Raw genomic sequence first — 12,532 nt, forward strand, 5'->3', positions numbered from 1 at the left:
GAGCTCCGTGCAGTGCACGGATTTGCGAAGAACGTGTTGGTTCTTGTGATTCACAAAGAACTTGGACTGAGTACAACGGGCAAAGAAGATGTCAGCTGTATTTTTAACATTCTGTTCAGCAAGAAGAGTATACATAATAATTTCCCAAAAAATATAATTTTTGAAAATGCAGAAAAATAAAAAATTTAGAAAGAAATACATGGCTGCAGACACTGACCTTTTCAGTTTTCCAATCATCATTTCTCAAAACACACACTTTCATCTCTATTTACCAAACACTATTTTCTGCATCTCCAAACCCCTCAAGCTTCAGTCCAGGTCCAAGTATCAATGGGTATATATGAAGCTCCTCTGCCACCAGAAATTCACTATGGAAAGATGTTATTTCTGGTACCCCAGTTGCAAAACAATGATGCCTGTTTTTTTCTTTTTGAGACAGAGTCTCATTCTGTCACCCAGGCTGGAGAGCGATGGCGTGATCTCGGCTCACTTCAACACCCACTTCACAGGTTCAAGCAATTCTCCTGTCTCTGCCCCCCGAGTAGTTGGTATTACAGGCATGTGCCACGACGCCTGGCTAATTCTGTATTTTTAGTAGAGATGGGGTTTCTCCATGTTGGCCAAGCTGGTCTCAAACTCCTGACCTCAGGTGATCCACCCACCTCGGCCTCCCAAAGTGCTGGGATTACAGGTGTGAGCCACTGTGCCCAGCCCAATGATGCCATTTTAACTCCTTTTCTCCTAAGTGGATTAGAGCTCCCTGAGCCTTCAGATAGCTTCCTTGGGGCTACTCCAGAGAACGACCAGCAGTCTCCACCTGCATAAGAAACGGGACACAGGGCACGAAGAGCAGCCCCAGGACCTGCCCGCTGCCTTGGGACTTGTGAAAGCATTTTTTGTGTAATGCCAAACAGGTCTTTGTTAAAAGACAATAACCAATAGGAGACAGGCTTCTAGATCTGCAGAAACTCTAGAAATAAATGAAGGAAAGCCTGACGAGTACCTGCCTGCTTTCCAGGGAAGAGAAGTGAGCAAAGGCAGAGAAGAAGCTGGAGGCCTCGTGGGGCATCTCCTGCACGGGCAGCAGGGCTGCGTAACCACCACGAGCACTGGGGCTTATGGGAGGAAGGAGTGTGTGCAGTTCCGGCCCCAAAGGTGACCAGGCCTACACGGGGCAATGCAGCTCAGAGGTCGTGGGCAGAGGACAGCTGAGGCAGGCAGACGGAGCACGCATCCCTGCTTCCCAGTGTGGGCCCACTCTGCTGGGCAAGGTTCTAAGGGGCTCCGAGTGAAGCCCCTGAGCACACGGTAAACAATCGATCCAAAAAGGGATGAGAAGGGCGGCTGGGCGAGGTGGCTCAGGCCTGTCATCCCAGCACTTTGGGAGGCCGAGGCAGGTGGATCATTTGAGATCAGGAGTTTGAGACCAGCCCGGCCAACATGGCGAAACCCTATTTCTACTGAAAATTAAAAAATAAAAATAATAAGCTGGGCATGGTGGTGTGCACCGGTAATCCCAGCCACTGGGGAGGCTGAGGCAGGAGAATTGCTTGAACCCGGGAGGCGGAGGTTGCAGTGAGGCGACAATGCGCCACTGCACTCCAGCCTGGGCTACAGAGCGAGACTCTGCTGCAAAAAAAAAAAAAAAAAAAAAAAGGGGTGAGAAGGGCAAGCAAGAGTTCAGACTATTAGAAGCAAGACACCAAGAAACTCCCAGACACCAACACCTACCAGTTTAGGGTTATTGTATAAGGAGCAAGAGCTTTTCACATTGTAACAGCCCCAACATTAAATCATCAATAAAAAGCAAAATGAGGGTAAGCATTCTAGTTTATAAAACATGCACTATGATTTTCTAATTATCCAAACAAGTAACTTACATGCGATGATACGCTTTCCAACAAGAGGAGAACGATGAAAGCTGTCAACATCCCCCAACATGCCTGTCACAAATGCGCATCACAGAAACCCACCTTCAGAACTCTCATCAGGAAACAGATGCCCTCTGCTACTCACATTCAGACTGGAGAATACCTGTCAGCATATACACCCCTCCTTACCGAATTTATACACTTTGTGAACAAGTGTTCCCCGAGCACATTGACCCCACGCGAATGGGGGGAAGAGGTAGAGGTCAGATGAGACCCAGGAGGGCATAACTTACAGCCTCTGCCACAGGCCACTCACGTGGTGACCACAGTCCAGCCGACTGCACTCTCAGGCTGTGACCTCTCCACGGGGCTCAGACTGTATCTAGTTCTATCTTCAATGTAGTGTGTCTGAGATCGTTTAACTAAAAGTGCTTTACAAACCGTGCAAGCAGCCAGCACGACTGTCCAGGCCCAGGGAAGGTGATGGGAAGGAGCCAGTGAATGGGGCCCAGGCAGGCGCCACCAGAACGGGCGAGGGGGACGCGGCCTCCCAGCAGCTGGGCACACCCAGGGGACAGAGAGTCTGCTCCCACCCATCTCCTCTTTCCCCTGGAGCCCTTGAACCCATCAAATGGATTTAAGGCCACTGACCAGGGCAGGAGTGACCCAAGCAAAGTTAAAAGGTGTCTAGAAATTCCTTGAGCCTCTAACTGCATCTTAAACTAGACAGCCAGGCACCCGAAGTCTAGAAATATATATATATATATTTTTTTAAAGACAGAGTCTCGTTCTGTCACCCAGGCTGGAGGGCAATGGTGCAATCTCGGCTCACTGCCACCTCCGCCTCCCAGGTTCAAGCAATTCTCCTGCCTCGGCCTCCTGAATAGCTGGGATCACAGGTGCGTGCCACCAAGCCTGGCTAATTTTTTGTATTTTTAATAGAGACGGGATTTCACCATGTTGGCCAGGCTGGTCTCGAACTCCTGACCTCAAGTGATCCACCTTGATCCATCCACTTCGGCCTCCCAAAGTGCTGAGATTACAGGCCTGAGCCACCACACTTGGCCGACAAATAAACAATTCCCCCCCTCCAGTAGATGGGGTCTCACTATGTTGCCCAGGTTGGTCTCAAACTCCTGGGCTCAAGTAATCCTCCTGCCTCGGCCTCCCAAAGTGCTGAGATTATAGGTGTGAGTCAACTGTGTTCAGCTGAAATAAACGTTTAACCACCACCTTGACATCATATCCAAGAAACAAAAGTAGAGTTTCCTTTGTTTGCCCATTTTTTGAGACAGAGTTTCACTCTTGTTGCCCAGGCTGGAGTGCAGCAGCATGATCTCGGCTCACTGCAACCTCTGCCTCCCAGGTTCAAGCAATTCTCCAGCCTCAGCCTCCCGAGGAGCTGGGATTACAGGCGTGAGCCACCGTGCCAGGCTTGTAAAGCGTAACTTTTAATAAAGGTAGTTATTCAATTATGCCATGTCATATACCTCTCTCGTCTGGATTCAACTTTCACACCACTGTAATATAGGTTTTAAAAGCTGGGTGTGCTGGCTCATGCGGACCCACAGCCTAAGGCCAAACAGCCGCCTGTGCTGCTGAGTAAAGGGAGCGGTGCGAGGTCACCTCAGGGAGGAAGAGGGAGGAGCCACAAGAGCAAAGTGTTCAGCTGGCTGAAAGCTCAAGATAACCGGCTCTGCCAGAAGCACTGCCATTAGGATTTCCAGGGAACCCCTCCTAGCCATGCCTGCCTGGCTGCTCTGGAGGGGCAGCAGCAGCCCCATACCAACGCTGACCTCCTGAGAGAACAAGACGAGGAGATCTGTGCCATGGCTGTCCCCACACTCTGGGAGAATGTGAGTTCAGAAAGGCGCTGTATCTACCCTCCCTGATGGGCTCATTTCTGTCTCATTCAAAACCTCGGGGCCATGTCCAGTGGACGCTGCTGCCTCCTGTGTCTGCAAGAAGGAAGAGCCATGAAGTTCCCATGGAACAAAGCACGGCCAGGAATGGCCAAAGCCGAAGAGCCTCCCATGGTGTCACGTCGAGCCCCTGCCCTCGGACCAGCAACGCAGCAGACGTCGAGCCCCTACCCTCGGACCAGCAACGCAGCAGACGTCCAGCCCCTGCCCTCGGACCAGCAACGCAGCAGACGTCCAGCCCCTGCACTCGGACCAGCAAAGCAGCAGACGGAAAGCCAAGAAGGCCCAATGCCAAGAGCCCAATCATGATAGCACCCAGAGGGCAAAGGTGCAGACTCCTCCCTCACTCCCACCTTTCCCAAACACCACCTCCAAGCTCCAGTCATACCTCTGTCTCACAAACACCCGCTAGGGCCTTGTCAAACTCACCTCCCACTGACGAAGGCGCTTCACAAAAGCATCTAGCAAGATAAAGAATCTGAAACTGGGAGGCTGAGGCAGGCAGGTCACCTGAGCTCAGCAGTTCAAGACCAGCCTGGCCAACATGGCAAAACCCTGTCTCTATTAAAAACACAAAAATTAGCCGGGCGTGGTGGCAGGCGCTTGTAATCCCAGCTACTCAGGAGGCCGAGGCAGGGAGAGTTGCTTGAACCCAGAAGGTGGAGGTTGCAGTGAGCTGAGATGTGCTCCTGCACTCCAGCCTGGGTGACAGAGCGAGACTCCATCTCAAAAACAAACAAAAACAAACATTTCTCAAGGCTGGGCACGGTGGCTCACGCCTGTAATCCCAGCACTTTGGGAGACCGAGTTGGGTGGATCACCTGAGGTCAGGAGTTCGAGACCAGCCCGTCCAACATAGCGAAACCCCATCTCTATGAAAAATACAAAAATTAGCTAGGCGTAGTGGTGCATGGCTGTAATCCCAGCTATGTGGGGGGCTGAGGCAGAGCAGAACGGGATGGGATGAAATGGGACAGGACAAGATGGGAATGGGACGAGATGGAAATGGGACAGGATGGGACGACATGGAACAGGATGGGATGGGACTGGGATGGGATGGGATGGGAATGGGACAGGATGGGACGGGACGGGATGGGGCAGGACAGAGCAGGGCAGCTTCTGCAGGAAGGAGCCTCTGCACTGGCAGTGGCACTGACGGCTTCAAAGGAGCTGCGAAGACACAAACTACAGAAAGAATAGAACTCAATTCTTCCCTCCTTTTACCTCAATCAGGTGGCCTTTTGGTCTTACTGTATTTTTGGCAACCTGTATTTAGCACCTACAGAAAAAGCAGGCCCACTAGACAGCCCAACAACAGAACCGCTGCAGGTGAGAACATACGTGTGTAAGAACATGTGTGTGGGAGCACACAATGAGAAATAGTTTTCTTTTTTTTTTTTTTTTTTTTTTTTTTTTGAGACTACGTTTCTGTCGCCCAGGCTGGAGTGCAGTGGCACAATCTCAGCTCACTGCAACCTCTGACTCCTGGGTTCAAGTGATTCTCCTGACTCAGCCTCCCAAGTAGCTGGAACTACAGGCACACACCACCATGCCAGGCTAATTTTTGTATTTTTAGTAGAGACGATATTTCACCATGTTGGCCAGGCTGGTCTTGAACTCTTGACCTCAGGTCCTCCACCTCCCAAAGTGCTGGGATTACAGGCGTGAGCCACTGTACCCGGCCTTGAGAAATGGTGTTTTTTTGTTTGTTTGTTTGAGATGGAGTCTCCCTCTGTCACCCAGGCTGGAGTGCAATGGCCCGTCTCAGCTCACTGCACAGGTGTCTGCCACCATGCCCAACTAATTTGTGTATTTTTAGTAGAGACGCTGTTTTGCCATGTTGGCCGGGCTGGTCTCGAACTCCTGACCTCAGGTGATCCACCCGCTTCAGCCTCCCAAAGTGCTGGGATTACAGGCGTGAGCCACCGGACCCAGCAGACAGAAATGGTTTTCTATGGCAGAGCAGACTGAGCCCGTCCACAAGCCAGCACCGGGCAGAGGGAAGGGCGCCAGAGACACCGAGACCCTGTGGGTATCCCTGTGTCAGAGCCTCAAGCTGCTCCCTACCAATTCTCCAACTCTACTGAGTGAGCAAGAAGACAGTCACCATATTCCCAACACAACACACTCACGATGATGCATTTCCACATTTCACTCAAATGCTTTAAAGATTTCAAAACTACGAATTCACTTTAGGTACAGTCCATCACGTACAGTCTGCAAAGAAAACCCCACTCAGCACCACTTTCACGTCTGACGACAGAAGGCTAACGTGAGTGGCAGTGAGACCGTGCCAGAGCCTGCCTGCCTCACCCCCGCCGCTGCGCAGCCAGAGGCCGGGGATTAGGCCAGACACCAGCGGCTCGCCAAGAGCTCCATTTGTGACCGTTCCCTCCGTAGGCAACCCGGTGGTCCCCACTCCCAGGAGGTCACCACACGGATGCCAAACTTAGCACACAGCGGACAGCAGTCCAGAACTCCCTGGCTCAAGCCGGCCTCCCGCTCAGCCTCCCAGGTAGCTGGGACCACGGGTGTGCGCCGCCATGCCCGCAAACTGGGTCCAATTTGTCTGCAAGAGAAGCAAAGGGGATGCCAGGGCTTCTCCTATTCCTCAGATTTTCGTTTTTAAGTAAAGTCATTACAGATTAAGAAAATACAATACCGGCTTCCAATGAACAATTCATCTTTTAATGTAAGTTTAAAACAAAATGGAAATCCACACTACAAGTTTTCCATTAACATAATGACCAAATAAAAAATGACTCCATGTTAAAAATCAGTCACTTTTTTTTTTTAAAGCTTGATTATTAAGACAGACAATGCACTAATTCTCCCTTCTGAGGGCAGCACGACCAATTCCCAACGTTACTCGTGTGTCCAGGGACCGTCCACACTGCCCTGCTGCCCCACCCTTTACCCAAGGAGACGCCAGAAACCCAGCCACTGGTCCCTAGCAAGAGGCCCTCTTTTCTCACCAGGGACAGTGGAGGATAGAACCCGGCACACAGCATGAGGGTGTGGGGGAAAGGGGGCTCTTCTCTGGAAGGATGGCAGTGGCCCGCAACGACCTTGCATCCTGCAAGATGCCCGCGGGGAGGAGTGTATCCAAAAGCACCCTACAGGACACGAGTCAAGACAGAATCACAAATCTCTTCTCGTCCAGGAAACTTGACTCCCTTACCTTCTGCTAGGTGGAAAAGCAGACACGCTTATAAGCTACTCAAGTTTTTTATTAAAACCATTGACTGTTGGATTTCATCAATCCAAAATAGCACTGTAGAATCCTTCCAGATGGCACAATGACTTGTAAACAGCATCTCCATAAAGCAGAAGCCTGAAGACTCAGTCCTATCACAGCCAGAGCTGTGTGCGAACAGACAAGCCCTGAGAAGTGTGCCAGCAAGAGACCCTGCCCCAGCTCCCCACGCCTCGACCACCGAGTCAAGGGCATGAAGGGCTTGGCAGTGAGGGCAGGAGGGTGGCCCCACCCTGGGAGCCCTGTATCGACTGGGTGCTCTGGAGGCCGCCCGTGGTGACAGGCCAGGGCTGCTTTCAGACCTCCTGGAAGGTGCAGGAGCCACAGAAGGCCCCAGTGACATGGAGGAGGTGTCTGCCCTGCCAAGAGCAGCGAGGGTGGGAGAGGTAGGTCACACAGCCACCACCAAACAATGGTGAAGAAGGCCCACTAAGGACACTGCTCAGCAAGGAAACACACAGGAAGATCTGGAGTGCCAAGTTAAAAAAAAAAAAAGCATCTCTCAAGGGAGAGGCCTGAATGGTGGGAGTGCCCCTCGAACAGAAGGAAGGGGCTGCGTCTGTGGTGAGGGGACAGCAGAGGGATAGTCAGGCCTCCCACTCTGCACCACAGGTCTGTGAAGTTTCTATTAAGACTGTGCTTGGGCCGGGCGCGGTGGCTCACTCCTGTAATCCCAGCACTTTGGGAGGCTGAGGCGGGCAGATCACGAGGTCAGGAGACCGAGACCATCCCGGCTAACACAGTGAAACCCCATCTCTACTAAAAATACAAAAAAATTAACCAGGCGTGGTGGCGGGCGCCTGTACTCCCAGCTACTCGGGAGACTGAGGCAGGAGAATGGCGGGAACCCGGGAGGCAGAGCTTGCAGTGAGCCGAGACTGCACCACTGCACTCTAGCCTGGGCGACAGAGCGAGACTCCATCTCAAAAATAAAAAAAGAAAAAGAAAAAAAAAAAAAAAAAAGACTGTGCTTGGCCGGGCACGGTAGCTTGCGCCTGTAATCCCAACACTTTGGGAGGCTGAGGCAGGTGAATCATTTGAGGTCAGGGGTTCAAGACCAGCCTGGCCAACATGGTGAAACCCCGTCTCTACTAAAAATTCAAAAAAATTAGCCAGGCGTGGTGGTGGGTGGTGGTCGGGTCTCCCCAACTACTGGGGAGACTGAGGCAGGAGAATCGCTTCTTGAACCCAGGAGGCAGAGGCTGCAGTGAGCCGAGATGGTGCCACCGCACTCCAGCCTGGGCAACAGAGCAAGACTCCATCTCAAAAAAAAAAAAAAAGGACTGTGCTCATCTGTTAGGTTCCTTTTTTAAACTTCAGACTTACAAAAAAGTTGCAAAAATAGTTCAGAGTCCCTGTACAGCCTTACCCAGCTTCCCTAATGCTAACATCATACATAAACATAACCACAGTGAAATTATCTAATTCCAAAATCAGCACTAACACCAGACTATTCACCACCACAAAGACCTGACTCCGACGCAATCACCCTGCTCCAGGGCCCACGCGGGTGGTGCCGGGTGCTCTCTTCTCTCCATGAGGCTGATTTTTTTTTTTTTTTTTTTTTTGAGACGGAGTCTTGCTCTGTTGGTCAGGCTGGTCTTGAACTCCTGACCTCGTGATCTGCCCGCCTTGGCCTCCCAAAGTACTGGGATTATAAGCGTGAGCCACCACGCCCAGCCTCCATGAGGTTGATTTTTAATGTCTTGAAAATCGACACGGAATAGAAAATAAGCAAGATTTGCGTTTCCCTGTGGTGCTGTCGAACGCACACACGTCACAAAAAAGCCCACGAGATGACAAAAAAGCCTGAATGCTGCATGTGTGTCTCTGACTGGGAATAAGGATCACTGGAAAATATTTGCACCTGAGAAGATGGGGCTGAAGGAGGCTGCATAGAGCAGGAGCCCTGCGATGAGCCGGGGACCCCCTTGGAGGTTTAGCGGACAGGACGTCATCCACACAAAGAAGAGCCGGCAGGTCCCGGGCTCACACAGGTCTGGAATGGTGCCACTGCCCAGCCAGATCCCTGTCCGCAGCCCTGGGAAGAAGGTTCTGGAAGGCACTGCCACAGCCCGGGGAATGATGAACCCAAAACTGAACCAAGCTCCAGCCTGTCTCACAAATCCTAAAAGCAACAGCTGAAAGGGACAAAAAGGTTCCAAGGAACTATGTGGATCCCAGAACAAAGCCCAAGATGACTTACAGGAATATACAATTATCCAGCACATAATGAGGTAAAATTCACAATGTCCAGCATCCCATCAAATATTCTCAGGCATGGAAGGTGGAACAATTTGAGCAAAAAATAAATAGGACAGCAATGGATTACAGTGCTGGAGTGCAGTGGTACGACAGCCTCCAGGGCTCAGGCAATCCTCCCACCTCAGCCTTCTGAGTGGCTGGGATGACAGATACACGCCACTACGTCTGGCTAATTTTTTTTTTTTTACTTTTAGTAGAGATGAGGTCTCCTTACGTTGCCCAGTCTGGTCTCAAACTCCTGGGCTCAAGCAATCTTCCCACCTTGGCTTCCTACAGTGCTGGGATTACAGGCGTGAGCCACCACACCCGACCTACAACTTTGCTGTAAACCTAAAATTTTTCAAAAATAAAAAGTATATTGAAAAAAATTCCTGGGCATGTAAATAAGAAAATATGATTACATAGGAGAAAAAAAAGTCAATCAAAAGCTACCCAGAATTGACACAGAAGGCAAAATTAGTAGATGGAGACATGAAATCGTGTAACTCAGTTCCTCCCCACGGTCAAAAACTAAAAACACGGAAGCTAGGAAAAGACACTGGAATGAACCTCTAGAGATGAAGATGACGCTGTGTGAGACGAAAATCACACTGGGTGGGATTCACAGAAGAACAGGCATTCAGAAGATCTGTGAACTCAGAGAAACGGCATGTCAACAACTCAAACATGAGCAAAAACACTGAGTGTGGCAGGGAGCACCGAGAGAGAAGATCACTGGGGCAAACACCGAGTGTGGCGGGGAGCACCGAGAGAGAAGATCACTGGGGCAAACACCGAGTGTGGCGGGGAGCACCGAGAGAGAAGATCACTAGGGCAAACACCGAGTGTGGCGGGGAGCACCGAGAGAAAGAAGATCACTGGGGCGAACACCGAGTGTGGCGGGGAGCACCGAGAGAGATCACTGGGGCGAACACCGAGTGTGGCGGGGAGCACCGAGAGAGAAGATCACTGGGGCGAACACCGAGTGTGGCGGGGAGCACCGAGAGAGAAGATCACTGGGGCGAACACCGAGTGTGACGGGGAGCACCGAGAGAAAGAAGATCACTGGGGCGAACACCGAGTGTGGCGGGGAGCACAGACAGAGAAGATCACTGGGGCGAACACCGAGTGTGGCGTGGAGCACAGACAGAGAAGATCACTGGGGCGAACACCGAGTGTGGCGGGGAGCACCGAGAGAGAAGATCACTGGGGCGAACACCGAGTGTGGCGGGGAGCACCGAGAGAGAAGATCACTGGGGCGAACACCGAGTGTGGCGGGGAGCACCGAGAGAGAAGATCACTGGGGCGAACACCGAGTGTGGCGTGGAGCACAGACAGAGAAGATCACTGGGGCGAACACCGAGTGTGGCGGGGAGCACTGAGAGAGAGAAGATCACTGGATCAAACCCCGAGTGTGGCGTGGGTGAGGTGCAGGAGCCTAACCAACGGTAAGGGGTGCTCCCAAAGGAGGTGGAGGGCAGAAAAAAATACGTGAAGGAATAAAGCCTGAACATTTCCACATTTTGATGAAAACTGTAAACTCTAGTGATCCAAGAAGCTCAACAAATCCCAATCACAAAACATGGAGAACCTGACCAAGGCACATCACAGAGGTGAAAAGAAAATCTTAAAGGCAGTCAAAGGTGAGAAACTAGGTAAAGAAGAACAGGCAAAAGGGACGACAGGTTCTCGGGGAAACAGTGAGCACACAGCCAGGGGCCAGCACCCGTAAGTCCTGCAGAAAAACACCTGTGAAAATCTTTCAAAAACAATGCTGCTGGTAATGGTTGTCTAACTCTGGGGAGGAGGTTCCTGGAGCTCTGCGCTGCTCCCCACATGCCCTGCCCTCCGCATCTGACTGTGCATATCCTTTGCAAAATCCTTTCCACGACACTGGTGAACATGTAAGTGTCACCCTGATTTGTGTGAGCCACTCTCATAAAATTATTGCACCAGGCTGGGCGCCATGGCTCACGCCTGTAATCACAGCATTTTGGGAGGCCGAGGTGGGTGGATCACGAGGTCAGGAGATCGAGACCATCCTGGCTAACACGGTGAAACCCCATCTCTACTAAAAATACAAAAAATTAGCCGGGCGCGGTGGTGGGCGCCTGTAGTCCCAGCTACTCGGGAGGCTGAAGCAGGAGAATGGTGTGAACCCGGAAGGCGGAGCTTGCAGTGAGCCGAGATCGCGCCACTGAACTCCAGCCTGGGCGACAGAGCGAGACTCTGTCTCAAAAAAAAAAAAAAAAAAAAATGATTGAACCCAAGGAGGGGTCACGGAACCCCAGATTCAGGGCAGGTCGCTGAGAAGCACAGCCACAGGAACCCAGGGCTTGCGGTGGGTGCTGGAGTGCTGGCAGTCTTGCGGGACTCAGTCCTCTCCCTGGTGGACCCCGTGCCGTCTCCAGGTAGACAGTGTCCAGGCTGCACGGGATTGTGGGACACCCAGCTGGTGTCCGCCACAGAACTGACTGCCTCCCTGCTGCTGGGCAGAAAGCCCACACAACTGGTCACAGACGTCTTTTGCGTTTTCTGTGTTGACTGTCGCTGTGGCATGAGAGCAAAGGAAAAATCTGAGTTTTCCCCCTCAGAACCCCTACTAACTGAGCTTAGAAATACATGAAGTCAAGCTACACAGACAGATACACAAAACCACAAACTCAGTAATGATTTTAATACCCTGTTCTCAATCACTGAGAGGACAAGCTGACAGAGAATCAGTAAGCACACTTGTAAGAAGTAAAGCAGAGGTTCCTCTTCAAAGACTTTCCTCCCCATCTAACTAAAAATAAATAGTAACTTCTCTTAAAAGCAACATTTATTCAAAGACCTGTACTGACATTCTTAAATATCTGCTAGCCTTAATAAAGAAATCAATGTACTTTATGTTCTTAGCTCCCACAATTTAGCCTAAATATCTGCCCTGGCATGCTTATACTGGTCGAAGCAAGCATTAGGTCACGGCCTGTTCCTCTTCCTTAGTTGAAGGTGTTTTTACCTTTCTCAGCATTCCACAAATTACTTCCTCCTTCCTTTGTTCTCCTCTGCCTTTGCCTCTTTTAAAAAGTTCTAAGTTGCTAGCCAATCGGGACAAATACAGAATGTGAGGTCCCGTTCCAGCCAATGGAAACCGGACACAGCAGTTGGTATAAAAAAACCGGACACAGCGTCAGGTTATAAATGACCCTGGTCTCCTTCATTCGGTGTACTCTCGTGGCAAAACTGCAGGCGAGTGT

General features: G+C 51.1%; 2 protein-coding genes across 6 annotated transcripts in view, besides 4 other annotated features; both read right to left on the reverse strand.

Annotated features, from left to right (window-relative positions):
* Positions 1–12,532, reverse strand: part of ANKRD11 (ankyrin repeat domain containing 11) — a 222,932-nt gene that overhangs the window by 112,069 nt on the left and 98,331 nt on the right. The window lies entirely within an intron of this gene.
* Positions 1–12,532, reverse strand: part of LOC128462377 (uncharacterized) — a 101,247-nt gene that overhangs the window by 62,653 nt on the left and 26,062 nt on the right. The window lies entirely within an intron of this gene.
* Positions 1,848–2,356: an enhancer, noted in NCBI's record as "H3K4me1 hESC enhancer chr16:89447954-89448462 (GRCh37/hg19 assembly coordinates)". NCBI's record gives its function as "activates a minimal SCP1, AML or CMV promoter by ChIP-STARR-seq in naive H9 embryonic stem cells {active_cell/tissue: H9 hESC(naive)}" and the evidence as "EXISTENCE:reporter gene assay evidence [ECO:0000049][PMID:30033119]".
* Positions 2,357–2,864: an enhancer, noted in NCBI's record as "H3K4me1 hESC enhancer chr16:89448463-89448970 (GRCh37/hg19 assembly coordinates)". NCBI's record gives its function as "activates a minimal SCP1, AML or CMV promoter by ChIP-STARR-seq in naive H9 embryonic stem cells {active_cell/tissue: H9 hESC(naive)}" and the evidence as "EXISTENCE:reporter gene assay evidence [ECO:0000049][PMID:30033119]".
* Positions 3,229–3,903: an enhancer, noted in NCBI's record as "H3K27ac-H3K4me1 hESC enhancer chr16:89449335-89450009 (GRCh37/hg19 assembly coordinates)". NCBI's record gives its function as "activates a minimal SCP1, AML or CMV promoter by ChIP-STARR-seq in naive H9 embryonic stem cells {active_cell/tissue: H9 hESC(naive)}" and the evidence as "EXISTENCE:reporter gene assay evidence [ECO:0000049][PMID:30033119]".
* Positions 3,904–4,577: an enhancer, noted in NCBI's record as "H3K27ac-H3K4me1 hESC enhancer chr16:89450010-89450683 (GRCh37/hg19 assembly coordinates)". NCBI's record gives its function as "activates a minimal SCP1, AML or CMV promoter by ChIP-STARR-seq in naive H9 embryonic stem cells {active_cell/tissue: H9 hESC(naive)}" and the evidence as "EXISTENCE:reporter gene assay evidence [ECO:0000049][PMID:30033119]".

This window comes from Homo sapiens, chromosome 16 (genome assembly GCF_000001405.40).
Source record: "Homo sapiens chromosome 16, GRCh38.p14 Primary Assembly".
In the NCBI taxonomy this organism is placed as follows: domain Eukaryota; kingdom Metazoa; phylum Chordata; class Mammalia; order Primates; family Hominidae; genus Homo; species Homo sapiens.